At 38.4% G+C, this 23229-nt stretch overlaps 1 long non-coding RNA gene across 3 annotated transcripts in view; it reads left to right on the forward strand.

Moving 5' to 3' along the window:
- LOC105379172 (uncharacterized) overlaps window positions 1–23229 on the forward strand; it is a 48658-nt gene that overhangs the window by 20112 nt on the left and 5317 nt on the right. Inside the window, exon 5 of one of the 3 annotated variants that reach the window (XR_948780.1) lies at window positions 12096–12134. The exons of the other annotated variants lie outside the window; for them this stretch is intronic. This is a non-coding gene — a long non-coding RNA (uncharacterized LOC105379172). Of the gene's footprint in view, window positions 1–12095; window positions 12135–23229 lie in introns of those variants that run through there. 3 annotated transcript variants of the gene reach the window in all.

Genomic DNA, 23229 nt, shown 5'->3' on the forward strand with positions numbered 1-23229 from the left:
ATCAACAGAACCATGACCTGTATAGAATGCAATCCCATGTTTTGAGAAAAGTGGTAAGAAATGATCTTAAAGGCAAATTAAGTATCACCCTTTTATTCATCTTGCTCATATCAGTTTCAAAAGGATACCAAGCCCCCAAAAGACAATTATTCTTACATTGTAACATCAATGTCTCAATGTATTTTAGTATAATAAGCATGTGTTAACTAAGATTCACTAAAAGTAAGAGATGATTTTTATAAGAGATGTTGATAAGGTGCTATTCTCTGAATCCTATGTTCCAAGGGCCATTTACTATAGAACATAAAAGATTCAAGAAATGAATTGTTATGCCCTGAATATTTTGTCTCTCTCCAAAATTTGTGTGTTGAAACCTAATGATCAACGTGATGGTCTTAAAAGGTGGGGCCTTTGGGAGGTGATTAGGTCATGAAGACTGAGTCTTCTTGAATGGGATTAGTGCCCTTACCTGAGAGGACTCAGGCTATTATCAAAAAGACCAAATATAACAAATGTTAGGAAGTTTGTGGAAAAAGAAAACCCTTGTATACTGTTGGTGGAAATGTAAATTAGTACAGCCATTATGGAAAACATTAAGAAAGTTCCCCAAAAAAATTAAAAATAGAACTCCTATATTATCCAGCAATTCCACTTCTGGCTATGCATCCAAAGGAAATTAAACCAGGATATCAAAGAGATATCTGCACTCTCACATTCACTGCAGCATTATTCAAAATTGCCAAGATTTGGACTCAACCTAAATGTTCATGAATGGATAAATGGATAAAGAAAATGTGATAGATATATATACAAAGGAATACTATTCAGCCTTTAAAAAGAAGGGAAACCTGTAATTTGTTATAATATAGATAGACCTGAAACAGTTATGCTAAGTGAAATAAGCCAGGCACAGAAAGACAAACACTGCGTGATCTCACTTTTGTGTGGAATCTAAAAAAGTCAAACTCATGAAAGCAGAGAGTAAAACAGTGGTTGCCAGGAGCTGGAGAAGGGGGTGTGGAATGGGGAAATGTTGATTGAAGGGCACAAAGTTTCAGTTAGGAGGAATTAAGTTCTGGAGATCTATTATACAGCACAGTGACTGTAGTTAATAATAATGTACACTTGAAAATTGCTAAGTGTAGATTTTAAATGTTCTCACAACAAAAAAATGATAAGCATGTGAGGTGATTCATATGTTAATAGCTTGGTTTAACCATTCCACAATGTATACATATATGAAAACACCACATTGTATACCATAAATACATATGGTAAATCATGAGCTCAGGAGATTGAGACTATCCTGGCTAAGACGGTGAAACCCTGTCTCTACTAAAAAATACAAAAAATTAGCCAGGTGTGGTGGTGGATGCCTGTAGTCCCAGCTACTTGGGAGGCTGAGGCAGGAGAATGGCGTGAACAGGAGGCAGAGCTTGCAGTGAGCTCAGATTGCGCCACTGCACTCCAGCCTGGGTGACAGAGTGAGACTCTGTCTCAAAAAAAAAAAAGAGGCCTCAGAGAGCTGCCTTGCCCTTTCTACCATGTGAGGACACAGCAAAAAGTCATCAGTCTGCAACCCAGAAGAGGGCCTTCACCAGAACCCAGTCATGACGGCACCTTGATCTTGAACTTCCCAACCTCTAAGACTAGGAGAAATAATTTTTTGTTGTTTATAAGCCACCCAGACTATGGTATTTTGTAATAGCAGCCCAAATGGACTAAGACAAAATGTAATGTACTAGGCCCACTTTCCTTATTTATTACCAGTGGAGGTTTTGTTCATTGAAAGAGTCATGCTTAAGAATATGCACAGAAAATAACTGTTTGATCCTTCTAATTAACATAATCTCAGTCACTGTTATCCCAACTGCACCAGTGTCACTAGTTTGTCTCTAAACTGGCTATGAGACCTCACATAGACCATACACCTGCTTTAAGCATCTTGCTCCTAGGTTGTCCTAAATTGCACCATTTCTAGATATTGAACATCAAGCAAGTATTTAATTTGCATTAACTACCAAGCAGCTCATTTTATAAAAGGGCAAAAATTTTAAGTGCCCAGAATGAAGTTTTCAGAAAATAAAGTTTTCATTCTGCATAATAGTTGGGCAATTTACTTATTTATGATAATCCAGATTGCCTTAGAAATATTTTTTCTTCCCCAAGTACACACAAACCTTAGACAGTGCACAGTGACCTAGACAGGCACAATCAAGGTCATGATGTTGCAACAAGTAGAAACCTAGGATGCCAAGGCATTCACCTCACACACTCTCATTGATTCATTTATTCACCCAGCTGTCATTTATTGAACATTTGCAATGAGCTCGGAGTTTTTTGCTTTTTGTCCATGTGCCTCATGTTCAATTGCACATCCACAAAGGGAATTGCCTGCATGATTCACAGTAGCCTCTTTTCCTTCCTATATTTGCTTAAGAGTTTTAATTCCTGTAAGTGAAAAACTACCACCAGTTCCAAAGTCTTCTCTGTTTCAACTATGAAGTCCAGTGAAATGCAAGACAAATAGGAGGCTCATACTTTAGTTAAACATCTGAACATTCTGCAGATGAGCATGCACATGAAGCAATACTCTCCCCTCTGCTATCCCATTGTAAACTCCTAAGTGTAACATGAAGCTACACACAGAGGTGTCATTGCTGTTCTGTTTTATCACAGTACATTTTGGAATGTTTATTGACTAACAAATTGTTATATCGAACAATAAAATAATTTTGCTAAAAACTATTTGCAAGAAAGTGGGAAGTCAATCCACAGGATGGCAGAAAATATTTCTAAATCATAGAGCTGATAAGAGACTTGTATTAAGAATATATAAAAAATATTTACAACTCAATAATAAAAAAAACCTAAAAAAAACCTAATGTTAAAATGATCAAATGATTTGAATAGACAGTTTTCCAAAAAAGATACATAAATAGCCAATAAGCACATGAAAAGATACTCAACATCATTTGCCATTAAGAAATGCAAATCAAAACCATGAGACACTACTCCACACCCACAAGGATGGCAATAATGTTTTTAAACTGGCAAATAACAAATGTTAGCAAGGATGTGGAGAACTTGGAACACTCATATGTTGCTGGTAGGAATGTGAAATGATGCAGCTACCGGAAAACAGTCTGGCTACTCCTCAGAAAGTTAAACATAGAGTTGCCATATGATCCAGCAACTTCACGTCTAGATGGATCCCAAAGAGAAATGAAAACATATGTCTTTATGAAAACTTGTACATGAGTATTCGTAGCAGCATTATTCATAATAGCCAAAAGAAGAAAAAATCCAAATTAGAACTCAGGATTAAGAAACTCACTCAAAATCACACAACTACATGGAAATTAACCAAGTGAATGACTCCTGGGTAAATAATGAAATGAAGGCAGAAGTCAAAAAGTTCTTTGAAACCAATGAGAACAAAGAGACAACGTACCAGAATTCCTAGGATGCAGCTAAAGCAATGTTAAGAGGGAAATTTACAGCACTAAATGCCCACATCAGAAAGCTAGAAAGATCTCAAATAGACACCCTAACATCACTACTAAAAGAACTAGAGAAGCAAGAGCAAATAAATCCAAAAGCTAGCAGAAGACAAGAAATAACTAAGACCAGAGCAGAATTGAAAGAGAGAAAGACACAAACAAAAAACCTTCAAAAAAATCAATGAATACAGGAGCTGGTTTTTTTGAAAAAAAAAATAATAAAATAGACCACAAGCTAGACTAATAAAGTAGAAGAGAAGAATCAAATAGACACAATAAAAAATGATAAAGGGGATATCACCACTGACACCACAGAAATACCAACTACCATCAGAGAATACTATAAACACCTCTGTGCAAATAACTAGAAAATCTAGAAGAAATGGATAAATTCCTGGACACATACACCCTCCCAAAACTAAACCAGGAAGAAGCTGAATCCTTGAATAGACCAATAATGATTTCTGAAATTGAGGCATTAATCAATAGCCTACCAACCAAAAAAAGCCCAGGACCAAATGGATACATAGCCAAATTTACCAGAGGCACAAAGAGGAGCTGGTACCCTTCTGAAACTATTCTGAACACGTGAAAATGAGGGACTCCTTCCTAACTCATTTTATGAGGCCAACATCATCCTGATACCAAAACTTGCAGAAAAAAAAAAGAAGAAGAAGAAAACTTCAGGCCAATATTCCTGATGAACATTGATGCAAAAATCCTCAAAAAAATACTGGCAAACTGAATCCAGCAGCACATCAAAAAGCTTATCCACCACAATCAAGTCGGCTTCATCCCTGGGATGCAAGGCTGCTTTAACATAGGCAAATCAGTAAACATAATCCATCACATAAACAGGACCAATGACAAAAACCACACATGATTATCTCAGATGCAGAAAAGGGCCTTCAATAAAATTCAACATCCCTTCCTGTTAATTCTCGATGAACTAGGTATTGATGGAACATATCTCAAAATAATAAGAACTATGACACCCACAGCCAATATCATAACTGAATGGGCAAAAGCTGGAAGCATTCCCTTTGCAAATGGGCACAAGACAAGGATGCCCTCTCTCACCACTCCTATTCAACAAGTATTGGAAGTTCTAGCCAGGGCAATCAGGCAAGAGAAAGAAATAAATGGTATTCAAATAGGAAGAGAGGAAATCAAATTGTCTCTGTTTGCAGGCGACATGATCCTATATTTAGAAAACCCCATCATCTCAGCCCAAAAGCTCCTTAAGCTGATCAGCAACTTCAGCAAAATCTCAGGATATAAAATCAATGTACAAAAAGCAAGCATTCCTATATACCCACAATAGACAAGCATACAGCCAAATAATGAATGAACTCACATTCACAATTGCTACAAAGAGAATAAACCTAGCAATACAGCTAACAAGGGACATGAAGGACCTCTTCAAGGAGAATTACAAACCACTGCTCAAGGAAATAAGACACAAACAAATTAAGGAGCATTCCATCCTCATGGATAGGGAGAATCAATATCATGAAAATGGCCCTACTGCCTGAATTAGTCCATTTTCATGCTGCTGATAAAGACATACCCGAGACTGGGAAGAAAAAGAAGTTTAATTGAGCTTACATTTCCACATGGCTGGGGAGGCCTCCGAATCATACAGTACAATACATGAGGCCTTGAATCAAACAATTCAAGTTGAGATTTGGGTGGTGGCACAGACAAACCATATCATTCCACCCCTGGCCCCTCCAAATCTTATGTCTTCACATTTCAAAACCAATCATCCCTTCCCAACAGTCCCATTTCAGCATTAACCCAAGAGTCCACAGTCCAAAGTCTCATCTGAGACAAGGCAAGCTGCTTCTGCCTATGAGCCTGTAAAATCAAAAGCAAGCTAGTTACTTCCTAGATACAATGGGGGTACAGGTATTGGGAAAATACAGCCATTCCAAATGGGAGAAATTGGCCAAAGCAAAGAGGCTACAGGGCCCAAGCAAGTCCAAAATCCAGCGGGGCCATCAAATTTTTAAGCTTCAAAGCAATCTCCTTTGACTTCAGGTCTCACATCCAAGTCACACTGATGCAAAAGGTGGGTTCCCATGGTCTTGGGCAGCTCCACTCCTGTGGCTTTGCAGGGTATAGTCTCCCTCCTGGCTGATTTCCCTGGCTGGCATTGAGTGTCTGTGACTTTTCCAGGTGCACAATGCAAGCTGTCAGTGGATCTACAATTCTGGGGTCTGGAGAAAGGTGGCCCTCTACTCACAGCTCCACTAGGCAAAGTCCCAGTAGAGACTCTGTGTGGGGGTTCTGATCCCACATTTTCCTCCTCCATTTCCCTAACAGAGGTTCTCCATGATGACCCTGCCCCTGCAGCAAAATTTTGCCTGGGAATCCAGGCGTTTCCATACATCTTCTGAAATCTAGGCAGAGGTTCCCAAACCTCAGTTCTTGACTTCTGTGCACCTGCAGGCTCAACACCACATAGAAGCTGCCAAGGCTTGGGTCTTGCACCCTCTGAAGCCACAGCCTGAGCTGTAGATTGTCGCCTTTCAACCACAGCTGGAGCAGCTGGGACACAAGGCACCAAGACCCTAGGCTGCACACAGCAGAGGGACCCTGGGCCCAGCCCACTAAACTGCTTTTTCCTCCTAGACCTCCAGGCCTGTGATGGGAGGGGCTGCTGTGAAGGTCTTTGACATGGCCTGGAGATGATTTCCCATGGTCTTGGGGATTAACATTAGGCTCCTCGTCACTTATGCAAATTTCTGCAGCTGGCTTGAATTTCTCCCCAGAAAATGGGTTTTTCTTTTCTATCACATTGTCAGGCTGCAAATTTTCCAAACTCTTATTCTCTGTTTCCCTTTTAAAACTAAATGCTTTTAACAGCACCCAAGTCACTTCTTGAGTGCTTTGCTGCTTAGGATTTTTTTCCATCGGATACCCTAAATCATCTCTCTCAAGTTTAAAATTCCACAAATCTCTAGGGCAGGAGCAAAATGCCACCAGTCTCTTTGCTAAAATATAACAAGAGTCACTTTTGCTCCAGTTCACAAAAAGTTCCTCATGTCCATCTGAGACCACCTCAGCCCGGACTTTATTGTCCATATTACTATCAGCATTTTGGGCAAAGCCATTCAACAAGTCTCTAGGAAGTTCCAAACTTTCCCACATTTTCCTGTCTTCTTCTGATCCCTCCAAACTGTTCCAACCTCTGCCTATTACCCAGTTCCAAAGTCGCTTCCACATTTTCAGGTAGCTTTTCAGCAGTGCCCTACTCTACTGGTAACAATTTACTGTATTAGTCTGTTTTCACACTGCTGATAAAGGCATTCCCAAGACTGGGAAGAAAAAGAAGTTTAATTGGACTTACACCTCCACATGGCTGGGGAGGCCTCAGAATCATGGGGGGAGGCAAAAGACACTTCTGACATGGTGGTGGCAAGAGAAAAAGGGGGAAGAAGCAAAAGTGGAAACCCCTGATAAACCCATTAGCTCTCATGAGACTTATTTACTATCACAAGAATAGCATGGGAAAGACTGGCCCCCATGATTCAATTACCTCCCCCCCCCGGTCCCTCCTACAACACTTGGGAATTCTGGGAGATACAATTCAAGTTGAGATTTGAGTCAAGGCACAGCCAAACCATATCACTGCCCAAAGTAATGTATAGATTCAGTGCTATTCCCATCAAACTACCACTGAGATTCTTCACAGAATTAGAAAAAAATACTTTAAAATGTATATGGAACCAAAAAAGAGCCCATAGAGCCAAGTCAATCCTAAGCAAAAATAACAAAGCTGGAGGCATCATGCTACCTGACTTCAAACTACACTATGAGGCTACAGTAAACAAAACAGCGTGGTACTGGTACCAAAACAGACATATAGACCAACAGAACAGAATAGAGACCTCAGAAATAACAACACACATCTGCAACCATCTGATCTTTGACATACCTGACAGAAACATGCAATGGGGAAAGGATTTCCTATTTAATAAATGATGGTGGGAAAACTGGCTAACCATATACAGAAAATTGAAACTGGACCCCTTCCTTACACCTTATACAAAAATTAACTCAAGATGGATTAAAGACTTAAATGTAAAACCCAAAACCGTAAAAACCCTAGAAGAAAATCTAGGCAATACAATTCAGGACATAGACATGGGCAAAGATTTTGTGATGAAAACACCAAAAGCAATTGCAACAAAAGCAAAAATTGACAAATGAGATCTAATTAAACTAAAGAGCTTCTGCACAGCAAAAGAAACTATCATCAGAGTGAACAGGCAAACTACAAAATGGGAGAAAATTATTGCAATTGATCCATCTAAATTTATAAGGAACTTAAACACATTTACAAGAATTAAACAACCCCATCAAAAGGTGGGTGAAGGATACCAACAGACACTTCTCAAAAGAAGACATTTATATGGCCAAGAAACATATGAAAAAAGGTCAACATCGCTGATCATTAGAGAAATGCAAATCAAAACAACAATGAGGTACCATCTTACGCCAGTCAGAATGGTGATTATTACAAAGTCAAGAAGCAACAGATGCTGGCGAGGCTGTGGAGAAATAGGAATGCTTTTACACTTTTGGAGGGAATGTAAATTAGTTCAACCATTGTAGAAGACAGTGTGGTGATTCCTCAAGGATCTAGAACCAGAAATACCATTTGACCCAGCAATCCCATTACTGGGTATATACCCAAAGGAATAGAAATCATTCTACTATAAAGATACATGCAAGGGCCAGGCATGGTGGCCCACGCCTGTAATCCCAACACTTTGGGAGGCTGAGGATGGCAGATCACCTGAGGTCAGGAGTTCAAGACCAGCCTGGCCAACATGATGAAACCCCCATCTCTACTAAAAGTACAGAGTTACCAGGGCGAGGTGGCATGCAACTGTAGTCCCAGCTTCTCAGGAGGCTGAGGCAGGAAAATTGATTGAACTTGGGAGGTGGAGGTTGCAGTGAGCCAAGATTGTGCCACTGCACTCCAGCCTGGGTGACAGAGATAGACTGCATCTCCAAAAATAAAATAAAGATACCTATACACATATGTTTATTGCAGCACTATTTACAATAGCAAAGACATGGAATCAACCCAAATGCCCATCAATGATAAACTGGATAAAGAAATTGTGGTGCATATACATCATGGAATACTATACAGCCATAAAAAGGAATGAGATCATGGCCTTTGCAGGTACATGGATGAAGCTGGAAGCCATCATCCTCAGCAAACTAACACAGGAACCAAAAACCAAATACTGTATGTTCTCACTCTTAAATGATAGTTGAAAAATGAGAACACATAAACACAGGAAGGGAAACCACACACATTGGGGTGTGTCGGGGGTGGAGAGGCAAGGACAAATAGCTAATGCATGCAGGGCTTAATAACTAGGTGGCAGGTTGATAGGTGCAGCAAACCACCATTGCACACGTTTACCTATGTAACAAACCTGCATGTTCTGAACATGTGTCCCAGAACTTAAAGTAAAATAAAATTTAAATTTTAAAAATGTTAACCCTCTTTACTGATGACCTAAACATTAAAGATGACATAAACAGAATAAGTGTTCTTGATATACTTATGTATTTAATAATTTTCTCAGCTGACATTTGTTTCTAATGTCATGTGCACTGGCTGAATTATGTTTTCCAAAAATTCATATCTACCCAGATGCTCTAAATGTGTGAAGTTATTTGGAAATAGGGTCTTCCTAGATGTAATCCAGTTAATGTGAGGTCATGCTGGATCAAAGCCCTCAATTCAATATGACTAACGTTACATTGTTATCTTACACAAAGAGGGCAATCTGGACATAGAGACATAGATGTGCAGGGGATATGGCCATTTGGAGATGGAGACAGAGATTGGAGTGTTGCACCTACTAGCTATGGAAACCCAAAGACTACAGGCAACCACTATAAGCTAGAAGATACCATCAGGATTCTTCTCCAGAGACTTCAGAGGAAACATGGCCCTGCCAATACTTTAATCTTAGACTTCTAGCCTCCAGATCTATGAAAGAATACATTTCTAGGTTTTTTCAAAGCCACCCACTTTGTAGTAATTTGCTACAGGAGCCCTTGAAAATTAATATACTGTGTAACCTAAGAAATGTATCTTTTTCAAGTAGGTTATACTACTGTCAACACTTTCATTAAAAATTACCTGCAATTATAGGCCAATAACAGGCTCTGAAATTGAGGCAATAATTAATAGCCTACCAACCAAAAAAAGGCCAGGACCAGAGGGATTCACAGCCAAATTCTACCAGAGGTACAAGGAGGAGCTGGTACCATTCCTTCTGAAACTATTCCAATCGATAGAAAAAGAGGGAATCCTCCCTAGCTCATTTTATGAGGCCAGCATCATCCTGATACCAAAGCCTGGCAGAGAGACAACAAAAAAAGAGAATTGTAGACCAATATCCCTGATGAACATCGATGCAAAAATCCTCAGTAAAATACTGGCAAACCAAATCCAGCAGCACATCAAAAAGCTTATGCACCATGATCAAGTGGGCTTCATTGCTGGGATGCAAGCCTGGTTCAACATATATAAATCAATAAACATTATCCATCATATAAACAGAACCAAAGACAAAAACCACATGATTATCTCAATAGATGCAGAAAAGGCCTTCAACAAAATTCCACAGCCCTTCATGCTAAAAACTCTCAATAAATTAGGTATTGATGGGACATATCTCAAAATAATAAGAGCTATTTATGACAAACCCACAGCCAATATCATACTGAATGGGCAAAAACTGGAAGCATTCCCTTTGAAAACAGGCACAAGACAAGGATGCCCTCTCTCACTACTCCTATTCAACATAGTGTTGGAAGTTCTGGTCAGGGCAATCAGGCAGGAGAAAGAAATAAAGGGTATTCAATTAGGAAATGAGGAACTCAAATTGTCCCTGTTTGCAGATGACATGATTGTATATTTAGAAAACCCCATCATCTCAGCCCCAAATCTCCTTAAGCTGATAAGCAACTTCAGCAAAGTCTCAGGATACAAAATCAATGTGCAAAAATCACAAGCATTTCTATACACCAATAACAGACAAACAGAGAGCCAAATCATGAGTGAACTCCCATTCACAATTGCTTCAAAGAGAATAAAATACCTAGGAATCCCACTTACAAGGAAGGCGAAGGACCTCTTCAAGGACCAAGAGTTCTCCTCTTCAAGGAGAACTACAAATCACTGCTAAACGAAACAAAAGAGGACACAAACAAATGGAAGAACATTCCATGCTCATGGATAGAAGAATCAATATCCTGAAAATGGCCATACTGCCCAAGGTAATTTATAGATGCAATGCCATCCCCATCAAGCTACCAATGACTTTCTTCACAGAATTGGAAAAAACTACTTTAAAGTTCATATGGAATCAAAAAAGAGCCCACATTGCCAAGATAATCCTAAGCAAAAAGAACAAGCTGGAGACATCACACTACCTGACTTCAAACTATGCTACAAGGCTATAGTAACCAAAACAGCATGGTACTGGTACCAAAACAGAGATAGAGACCAATGGAACAGAACAGAGCCCTCAGAAATAATACCACACTTATAAAACCATCTGATCTTTGACAAACCTGACAAAAACAAGAAATGGGGAAAGGATTCCCTATTTAATAAATGGTGCTGGGAAAACAGGTTAGCCATATGTAGAAAGCTGAAACTGGATCCCTTCCTTACACTTTATACGAAAATTAATTCAAGATAGATTAAAGACTTACATGTTAGACCTAAAGCCACAAAAACCCTAGAAGAACACCTAGGCAATACCATTCAGGACATGGGCATGGGCAAGGACTTCATGTCTAAAACACCAAAAGCAATGGCAACAAAAGCCAAAATTGACAAATGGGATCTAATTAAACTAAAGAGCTTCTGCACGGCAAAAGAAACCGCCATCAGAGTAAACAGGCAACCTACAGAATGGGAGAAAATTTTTGCAATCTACTCATCTGACAAAGGGCTAATATCCAGAATCTGCAAAGAACTTAAACAAATTTAAAAGAAAAAATCAAACAACCCCATCAAAAAGTGGGCGAAGGATATGAACAGACACTTCTCAAAAGAAGACATTTATGCAGCCAAAAGACACATGAAAAAATGCTCATTATCATTGGCCATCAGAGAAATGCAAATCAAAACCACAATGAGATACCATCTCACACCAGTTAGAATGGCGATCCTTAAAAAGTCAAGAAACAACAGGTGCTGGAGAGGATGTGGAGAAATAGGAATGCTTTTCAACTGTTGGTGGGACTGTAAACTAGTTCAACTATTGTGGAAGTCAGTGTGGCGATTCCTCAAGGTTCTAGAACTAGAAATACCATTTGACCCAGCCATCCCATTACTGGGTATATATGCAAAGGATTATAAAACATGCTGCTATAAAGACACATGCACACATATGTTTATTGTGGCACTATTCAGAATAGCAAAGACTTGGAACCAACCCAAATGTCCAACAATGATAGACTGGATTAAGAAAATGTAGCACATATACACCATGGAATACTATGCAGCCATAAAAAATGATGAGTTCATGTCCTTTGTAGGGACATGGATGAAGCTGGAAACCATCATTCTCAGCAAACTATCACAAGGACAGAAAACCAAACACCGCATGTTCTCACTCATAGGTGGGAATTGAACAATGAGAACACTTGGACACAGGAAGGGGAACATCACACACCAGGGCTTGTTGTGGGGTGGGGACAGGAGGGAGGGATAGCATTAGGAGATATACTTAATGTAAATGATGAGTTAATGGGTGCAGCACACCAACATGGCACATGTATACATATGTAACAAACCTGCACGTTGTGCACGTGTACCCTAGAACTTAAAGTATAATGATAATTTAAAAAAAAAACAGGCAAATGACAAAAAAAAATTACCTGCAATTTTTATAAAGTTGAATTATGCAGTTAAGAGATTTGAAATTTCTGACACCTTTGATTAACTCATGGCCAGACACTGTGGCTCATGCATCTAATCCCAGTGCTTTGGGAGACTGAGGGCAGGAGGATCACTTGACGCCAGGAGTTCAAGACCAGCCTAGGCAACATAGCAAGATCCTGTTTCTACAAAATAATAATAATAATAATTAGCCAAATGTGGTGACATGCGCCTGTAGTTCTAGCTATTCCAGAAGCTGAGGTGGAAAGATCGCTTGAGCCCAGGAGCTTGAAGCTGCTGAGAACTGTGATTGCACCACTGCACCCCAGCCTACACAACAGAGCAAGACCCTGTCTTTTTTAATGGTTTTAATTTATTCCTCTCTTTAGATCAAATTTTTAACTGAGAAAATATGCTCTCTACAGGTGCTGATTTACCCAGTAAACTCAAACAAATTTTTCGAAAAGAAAGATATTGTCAATTCTAAATTTTTCCTTTTGAAATGTATAAATGTTTCAGGCAAATATTTTTATAAGTCTTGTCCTCTTTGTATCATTCAGGATAATTTTCTTCAAAAAATATTTTTACAAGCCAAAACTCATCTAATAAGATCCTAATTATGATTACGTTGAACATTTTACCAAATGTAGATATTACAATTATAGGCTTTCTCAATTTAATTTGAATAGTGCACAAAATAATAATTTGCTGAATTAAAAATAAAAGCTCCTAGATGTCAGCAAAAATGGCAAGTAAGGAATTCTGAAATCTCCTCTTTCATATAACCTGCACATTGTGCACATGTAGCTAAAACTTAAAGTATAATAATAATAAATAAATAAATTTTAAAAAAAAATGGGAACAAATGGGGGAAAAAAACCAGAGCTATGAAAATTAACCAAAAGCTTGCAGCAATCTGAGAAGTGCTCATTCAGGAAAAAAAGACTGAATCTCAATATGAATAATAAGCTTTGTGATGTTTCACCTTACTGTAATACCCTCACTTGCTGTCTTGAAAATAACCACACACATTTCTACCACCAGAGGAAACATAGAAGATCTCATTAATTTACAAAGAATTGTACATTTTAGTCTATCTGGTGGTTGCCTGGAAAACTAGCTCAATGGGTTTGAATTTACCTCACTAATTTGGAACTCATCCAGTGCTAAACACACTATAGAGGGCATTGGTTGAAAACATTTACAGACAGTTCTAAATTAAGATGGTTCAATAGAATTTTTTTTCCTTCATGATGGTGCAAAAGCAATACACATTCAGTAGAAACTCTACTTTGATCTCCTATACAACCATTCTTTTTTTCACTTTCAGTACAGTATTCAATAAATTACATGAGATATTCACACTGTATTACAAAGTAGGCTTTGTGTTAGATGATTTTGCCCAACCACAAGCTAATATAAGTGTTCTAAACATATTTAAAGTAGCCTAGGCTAAGCTATGACATTCAGTAGGTTAGGTGTATTAAATACATTTTTTGACATGATATTTTCAACTTACAATGGGTTTGTCAGAGCATAAACCCATCATAAATTGAGAAGCATCTGAACAAAGCAAATGTTTTAGTCACATCTGCCTGAGGCAATGATAAACAGTCAGGGCAAGCAATAGACTAATCAAAAAGCTTGAAGTAAAAGGCTTGAGAATGTGATGCTTCGGGGAATAAGGGCTTTGGAAAGCTTTGACATATTCCTGGAAATCTAGAAGGTCACACATATGTCAAGGATTGTACATATGCTCAAGAAAGACCTAAGAAGGTCCAAGCCGGCCGGGCGCGGTGGCTCACGCCTGTAATCCCAGCACTTTGGGAGGCCGAGGCGGGCGGATCACGAGGTCAGCAGATCGAGACCATCCCGGCTAAAACGGTGAAACCCCGTCTCTACTAAAAATACAAAAAATTAGCTGGGCATAGTGGCGGGCGCCTGTAGTCCCAGCTACTTGGGAGGCTGAGGCAGGAGAATGGCGTGAACCCGGGAGGCGGAGCTTGCAGTGAGCCGAGATCCCGCCACTGCACTCCAGCCTGGGCGACAGAGCGAGACTCCGTCTCAAAAAAAAAAAAAAAAAAAAAAAAGAAGGTCCAAGCCTTTTACCTATCCTGACTTCAAAACAGAAGTGTCAACTGCCTGGCAGAGTGCTATAGATTTGTCCCAAAGCATATATGAAACAACTCTGGAAAGACTAGGTTTTTTTGTTCTAGAAATTTAAGGTAATCTCTCTCAAATTATTCACTCACCACTAAGTTAACAGAACAAAGACTCAGTGACCACCCATAACAAAGAATATACACTTTAAAATATTAGTTTGGAAAATTCACTAAACAAACAAAAACAGTCTTTCAACAACAACAAATCATAAGGAAAAGAGACAATCAGATATGCAGAGATACTGCATTATAGGATTCAAAATGTCCACTTCTCAGCAAGAGAATAACCCATATACAGAATGAAAATAACTCATAGAAATTGTCCCCAAGGAAGCCCAGACATAGAACTTGCTAGAGAAAGACCTTAAAATTGACTATTTTAAATATATTCAAAGAGCTAAAGGACTCCCATGTCTAGAAATAAAGGAAGCACAGAATGATGTCCAAAACAAAAGAGAATATAAATAAATAGATGAAAATTATGTTTTAAAAAGAACCAATTAAATATTCTGTAATTGAAAAGTGCAATAAATAAAATGAAAATTTTACTAGACAGGCTCAGCAGCAGATTTTATCAGGCAAGAGAAAGAATCTGTGAATTCAGGAATAGATTAGTAGAGATGATCCAGTCTGAGGAATAGAAAGAAAAATAAATAAAATTGAACAGCACCTAAGGGACCAATGGAGTAAAAATCAAGCATACAAAAATATGCATTATGGGAGTCCTAAAGAGAGAGGAAAGAGAGAAAGGAGCAATGAGATTGAAGAAATAATGGCCAAAACCTTTACAAATTGGAGAAAATACATGAATCTACAAATCCAAGTAGCTCAACAAAGTTCATGTAGAATAAATCCAAAGAGACTCATGCTCAGATACTTTATAATCAAACTGTTGAAAACCAAAGACAAAGAGGAAAATCTTTAAAGCAGCAAGAGAAAAGCAATCTGTCACATACAAAGTATCCACAATGAGATTATCATCAGGTTTCTCAGTAGAAATCTTACAGGCCTGAAAGTAGTGGGATGATATAGTCAACATGCTGAAAGAAAAAAAATGCTGTCAACCTAGAATACTATATCTGGCAAAGCAGTCCTTCATGAATGAGGGAAAAATTAAGACTTTCCCAGTTAAACAAAAACTCAGAAAATTCATTACCACTAGACCTGTCCTATAAGTAATGCTAAAGAAAGTCTTTTAAGTTAAAATGAAAGAACACTAAACAGTAACTTAAAGCCATATGGAACTATAAAGTTCTCTGGTAAAGGTAAGTACATGAAAAAATATACAAACCAATATTATTGTAATTTTGGTTTGTAATTCTACTTCCTATTCTCCTACAGCATTTCAATGACAAAAACATTAAAATTGTAGATCTATGTTAATGGGTATTCAACATATAAAAATGCAATGTATTAGTCTGTTCTCATGCTGCTAATAAAAATATACCCAAGACTGGGTAACTTATAAAGGAAAGAGGTTTAATTAACTCACAGTTCCACATGGCTTTGGAAGCCTCACAATCACAATGAAAGGCAAATGGGAGCAAAGTCATGTCTTACATGGCAACAGGCAAGAGAACATGTTCAGGGGAACTCCCCTTTATAAAACCATCAGATCTCATGAGACTTATTCACTATCATGAGAACAGCACAAGAAACCCTGCCCTCATGATTCCATTACCTCCCACTGAGTCCCTCCCATGCCACATAGGGATTATTACAATCCACCTAGGGATTAGTACAATTCTGGGTGGGGACACAGAGTCAAACTATATCATGGAGTTCAAGACCATCCTGGCTAACATGGTGAAACCCCGTCTCTACTAAAAATACAAAAAAAAAAAAATTAGCTGGGCATGGTGGCAGACACCTGTAGTCCCAGCTACTCAGAAAGGCTGAGGCAGGAGAATGGCATGAACCTGGGAGGCGGAGCTTGCAGTGAGCTGAGATCGTGCCACTGCACTCCAGCCTGGGCAACAGAGTGAGACTCCATCTCAAAAAAAAAAAAAACTGGGAGGGCTATAAAACAGTAGATTTTCTTCATGTGGTTGAAATTAAGTTGGTATCAGTTTGATATTGACTGTTATAACTTTAGAATAATATGTGTAATCCTTATGAAAACCATGAAAAAATCTGTAGAATTTACAAAAAAGGAAATGAGAATGAAATCTAACATGTCACTATAAAACATCAAGTAAACTCAAAAGAAAGCAGTAATAGGGGAAATGAGAAGCAAAAAAGCTACAAGATATGCAGAAAACAAATAACAAAATAGCAATAGTAAAGTCATTCTCTATCAGTAATTACTTTAAATATAAATGAACTAAACTCCCCAATCAAAAGACATAGACTGGCAGAATGAATTTTAAATTAAAAAAAAAAAAACAGGGTCCATCTAGATGGTTTCTATAAGACACTCATTTTAAATCTACGTACATACATGGGTTGAAAGTAAAAGAATGGAAAAAGATATTCCATATGATTAGTAACGGAAAGAGATCTGGTGTGGCTATATTAATCTCAAACAAAATAAACTTTAAGTTGAAAACTGTTACAAAGGTAAAGAAGAAAATTATGTGATGATAAATTGGTCAATTCACCAAGAAGATATAACAATTACAGTCACGTGTCACTCAACAAAGGGGATACATCCTAAGAAATGCATCATTAGAGGATTTCATCCTGTGAACGGCATTCAAAGTGTAACTGTACTTACACAAACCTAGAAAGTATAGCCTACTACATACCTAAGCTATATGGTACGGCCCATTGCTCCTAGGCTGCCAATATATACAGCATATTATTGTACTCAATACTGCAGGCAATTGTAACACAATGGTAAGTATTTGTGTATCTAAACATAGAAAAGGTCAAGTAAAAAATGCTGTATTATAACCTTATGGGGCCACCGCCATAGATTCAGTAGATTGTTGACCAAAACATTGTTATGCAGCACATGACAGTATAACCATATAGGCACCAAACATCAGACCCCATAAATATGTGAAGAATGGAAAAAATTGAAGGGAGAAAAAGACAGCTCTAAAATAATAGGAGGAGACTTCAATTCCTTACTTTTAATAGTGGATAGAATAACAAGAAAGAAGATCAGTAAGGAAACAGAGGACTTAAATTTGAACACTATAGACTAATTGGACCTACCAGATATATATATAGAAAATTCCATCCAACAGCAGAATATGCATTTTATCAAGAGCACATGGAACATTCTCCAGTATAGACCATGTTAGACCACAAAACAAATCTTAAAATATTTTAAAAGATGGAAATCATACAACATATCTCTTCTGATCATAATGAAATGAAACAAAATCCACGGCAGGAAAAAAAAACTTAAAAAATCATATATATGTGGAAATTAACACATTGTTAAACAACCAATGGGTCTGTCTTAGTCCATTTATGTAGCTGTATCAAAAATACATACCATAGGCTGTGTAGCCTACACAACAAATACCCCTGTAGGCTGGGGAGTTCAATATCAAGACATCAGTATACTCAGTGTCTGGTAAGGGCCCACTTCCTGTTTAATAGATGGCCACCTCCTTGCTTCTCATAGTAAAAGACTTAAAGACCGAAGAATAATCCTCTTGCAATAGATGCTCTGCCTTCCAGGTCCATTGGAGTGGCAACCTCACCCTCACTACTTGAAAGGAGGGCCCTGCAGTGGCTCTCTGCCTGAGCCCCATCCCCAAAACAGTTATCTGCCAGAGCCCCACAGCTCTCCTGGTCTGGGGTCCCACACCCGTGGCTCCAGGCAGCCTCATCCTTTGAAACCTAGGTTGAAGCAACCATGCCACTGGGCCTGTGCACTGTGGCCTATGATGGGAATGGCAGCCTTGATGATCTCTGAATCACCTGCAGGGTCATTTTTCCATTGTCTTAAAGAATAGCATCTGACTTGTGTTGAGATGGCTTATTTATAATAATTTCCTTATCAAACAGTCACTTGGACACTCTGTTAGTGTTCTAATTTTTTGCAATATGATTAGGTGGAGGATTTTCCAAGTCTTTGAGTTCTGCTTTCTTTTTCCTTAAAAATTCTGTCTTTAAGTCATTTATTTCTTCTTGAATTTTACAAAAGTAGTCATGAAAAGCCAAGCCCCACCTTTAACCCTTTGCTTAGAAATATCTTGAGCTAAATATCCAATTTTATTGCTCACAAGTTCTACCTTCCACAAAACGCCAAGAGACAAACATAATTCTGCCAAATTCTTTGTCACATTATATCAAGTATTACTTTTCCTCCAGTTTCCAATGACATGTTCCTTATTTCCATCAAGACCTAATCTGAATGGCCTTTACCGTCCATGTTTCTACCAACGTTCAGTTTATCATACTTAGGGATTTGTTGGGAAGGACAATTTATGCATGTAGTCTTTTTTGACCCCTCACTCATCTGCAAAATAATGGGCCTTGGGCCTGGAATATTTCCTTATCAAGAGATAAAGGGTCCATTCATTCTGTCATAGGCATATTGCCTTGTGTGGGAATATCTTTCCCTGTTTCAAGCTCAATGTACACTCCTTTGTTTTGCTGAAGTACGTACATCAATGGCCCTAAAGCATGCCTACAGCTTTCAGTATTTCAGACAGCACAGGGGAGGAGAGGGGTCCTTCTACTGTAGCACAAGAAAGGTATACGTAGGCCAATTGCCCTGTGTCGGCTACTGGGGTGACCCACTAGCCATGACAGACCAGTGCATACTATGAGAGCTGATCTTCCTCTGTCTTTTCTCTGTGTGAGTGAAGTATTGTTCCATCCAGTAATTTATTGTGTTGTGTTTTCCTTGGTGACTCTGATACCAAGTTGCAGTGGGCAGAAGTGTTGGGACTTCTATTCCTGGTGGCTGGTATTTTGATGACTTTTGCCATCCTCCATGTAATTGGAGTCCTTCCTTGGCTTTGGTAATCAGTGCCCAGTGCTCTGACAGTATTCTGTAAGAAGATTGAGGCTTTCCTTCCAGCTCTTCTCTTTTCTTTCTGCACTCTAACTAGAATCACCCTTAACATCCATATTGCTAAAATGCTCCTTAAAAACTCTTCCACCCTCTACTGTTACCCAATTCCAAAGCCGCCTCCACATTTTTAGGTATTTATTACAGCAGCACCCTACTTCTTAATATTACTCTTTGTCTTAGTCCATTCAACTGCTATAACAAAAACCGCACCATATTGAGTGGTTTATACAGCAAATGTTTATTTCTCACAGTTCTGGAGACTGAGGAGTCCAAGATAAAGGAGCTGGCATATTTGAGTCTAGTGAGGGCTTGCTTCCTGGATAATAGAAAACCATCCTTTTTCTGTGTCCTCAAATGGCAGAAAAAGGCAAAAGAATTATCTAGGGTCACAGGAGTTGGAGGCTGCATAGCACACTATTTTTTGACAAGGGCACCAAGAAGATAAAATGGAGAAAGGACAGCCTCCTCAATAATTGCTGTTGGGAAACTGGATATCCACATGTAAAATAATAAAAATGGGCCATTATCTTTCACTATATACAAAAAAAACTTAAAATTTGTTAAAGAGATAGATGTATAACCTGAAACTATAAAACTCCTACAAGAAAACAGAGGGAAGAATCTCCTGGGCCTTGGTCTTGGCAATATATTTTTTGGATAGGACAACCAAAAGCAGAGGCAACAAAACCAAAATTGAACAAATGGGGTCCATATCAAACTAAAAACTCTCCATAGTAAAGGAAAAGAACCAGTAAAATAAAAAGGTAGCCTATGAATTGGAAGAAAATATTTGCAAACCATATACCTGGTAAGAAGTCAACATCCAAAATATATAAGGAACTCAAAAAACTCAATAGCAAAAAAGAAAATTATAATTCAATCAAAATATGGGGAAAAGACCTGAATAGACATATCTCCAAAGAAGACATAAAAATGGCCAATAAGCATATGAAAATGTGCAAATGTGCTCAATGTCACTAATCATCAGGGGAATGCAAATCAAAACCACCAGATATGACCTCATACCTGTTAAGATGGATGTTATCAAAAAGACAAGAGACAGTAAGTGTTGGTGAGGATATTTTTTTAAAGTGAACCCCGGTACACTGTTGTTGGAAATGTAAATTAGTAAAGCCTCTATAAAAAATAAGGCCGAGGCGGGCAGAGCACTTGAGTTCAGGGATTTGAGACCAGCCTGGCCAACATAGTGAAACCCCATCTCTACTAAAAATACAAAAATTAGCCAGGTGTAATGGCGCATGCCTGTAATCCCAGTTACTCAGGAGGCTGAGGCAGGAGAATTGCTTGAACCTGGGAGGCGGAGGTTGCAGTGAGCCAAGATTGTGCCACTGCACTCCAGTCTAGGCAACAGAATAAAGGTTCCTCAAAGACTAAAAATAGAACTACCATATGACCCAGCAATCCCTCTTCTGGGTATATAACTAAAGGAAATGAAATCAGCACTTCACAGAGATATCTGTGCTCCCACATTCATTGCAGCATTGTTCACAATCACCAAGATATAGGAAAGACCTAGGTGTCCATCAACAGATAACTGGATAAAGAAATTGTGAGATATAAATATATATAAATATTCTTACATTGTATGTTCATATATGTGACTATTATTCAGTCTTTAAAAAGGAGATTCTACCATACACAGAGTGAAAAGTATTATATGGTCTCTTTTATATGCAGCATCTATAAAGAAGTCAAACACATAGAAACAGAGAGTATAATGGTGGCTACCAGAAGCAGGTGGGGAGGGAAGGAAAATTGAGGAGAGATTGCTCAGATGGTGCAAAATTGCAATTATGTAGGATAATTCTAGAGGTCTAATTTACAGCATGAGGTCCATAGTTAATAATAATGAATTGTATACTGAAATTTACTAAGAGAGTAGATTTTAGGTGATCTTACCACACATACACACACAAAAATGTAACTGTATGAGATGATGAGTAGGTCAATTGGCGTGACACTTAACTATGTATACGTATATCAGAACATCATGTTCTATACCTTAAATATATATAGTAAGAATAAAATTTAAAGATAAAAATTGTTTTAATGGTTTAAAGGGAAATAAAAAGGATTATAAGAAAGCAGTATGAACAATTATACACCAACAAATTAGGTAACCTAGATGAAATGGCCAAATTCTAGGGAGTTATGTCACAACATGGTGGAGTAGGAAGCTTTGGATCCTCTTTACCCCAAAAAACACACCAATTTTTTTTAAGAAACAGGGGCTCACTATGTCACCCAGGCTGGTCTCAAACTCCTGGGCTCAAGTGATCCTTCCACCTCAGTTTCCTGAGTAGCTGGGACTACAGGATGTGTCACCATGTCCAGTTAATTTTGTTTATTTTTTTGTAGAGACAAGGTCTCACTATGCTGCCCAGGCTGGTCTCAAACTCCTGGACTTCAGCTGTCCTCCCACCTCAGCTTCTCAAAATGCTGGATCACTGGCACAGGCAACAAATGAAAAATAGATAAGTTGGACTTCATGAGAATGTTTACATTATATGCATCAAACGATAGTATCAGCAGAGTAGAAAGGGCAACCCACATAATGGAAGAATATATTTGCAAATCGTATATCTGATAAGATAATTAATATCTGTAATATATGGAGAACTCCTACAACTCAACAACAAAAAACCAAAAACATTTGCAAATAGGTAAAGGATGTAAAATAAGCAAAGGGCTTGAATAGATATTTCTCCATATACAAATGGCCAAAAAGCACATGAAAAGAAGTTCAACATCACTAATCATCAGAGAAATGCAAATCAAAACTATTATGAGATACCACCTTATACCCATTAGGATAACTACTATCAAAACACAGAAAAGATGCCAGGCACCAGGGCTCACACCTGTAATCCCAGCATTTTGGGAGGCTGAAGCAGGCGGATCACTTAAGGTCAGCAGTTCCAGACTAGCCTAGCCAACATGGTGAAACCCTGTCTTTCTTCCAAAAATATAAAAAAACATTTAGCTGCATGTGGTGGCCCGTGCCTGCAATCTCAGCTACCGGAAGGCTGAGGCAGGAGAATCGCTTGAACCTGGGAGGTGGAGGCTGCAGTGAGCCAAGATCATGCCACTGCACTCCAGCCTGGGTGACAGAGCAAGACTCTGTCTCAAAAAAAATAAAATAAAATAACAGAAAATAGTACGTATTGGCAAGGATATGGAGAAATTAGAACACTTATACACTGTTACTGGGAATGCAAAATGGTACAGCCACTGTAGGAAAAAAGTATGGTGGTTCCACAAGCAATTAAAAATAGAACTACAATATGATCTATCAATTTTCAAAGAATTAAAAGCAGGGCCTCAAACAGATATTTGCATACTCATATTCACAGCAACATTATTCACAATAGCCTAAATGTAGAAGCAACCCAGATGTCTATCAGTGGATGAATGGATAAGAAAACTGTGGTGTGTGTACATATAATGGATTATTATTGAGCCTTAAAAAGGAAGGAAATTTTGACACATGCTACAACATGGATGAACCTTGAGGACCTTATGTTGAGTGCAATAAACCAGTCACAAAAAGACAAATACTGCATGACTCCACTTATATGACGTACTTAGAGTAGCCAAAATCTTAGAGACAGAAAGTAGAAGGGTGGT

This window comes from Homo sapiens, chromosome 5 (assembly GCF_000001405.40).
Source record: "Homo sapiens chromosome 5, GRCh38.p14 Primary Assembly".
In the NCBI taxonomy this organism is placed as follows: Eukaryota; Metazoa; Chordata; class Mammalia; order Primates; family Hominidae; genus Homo; species Homo sapiens.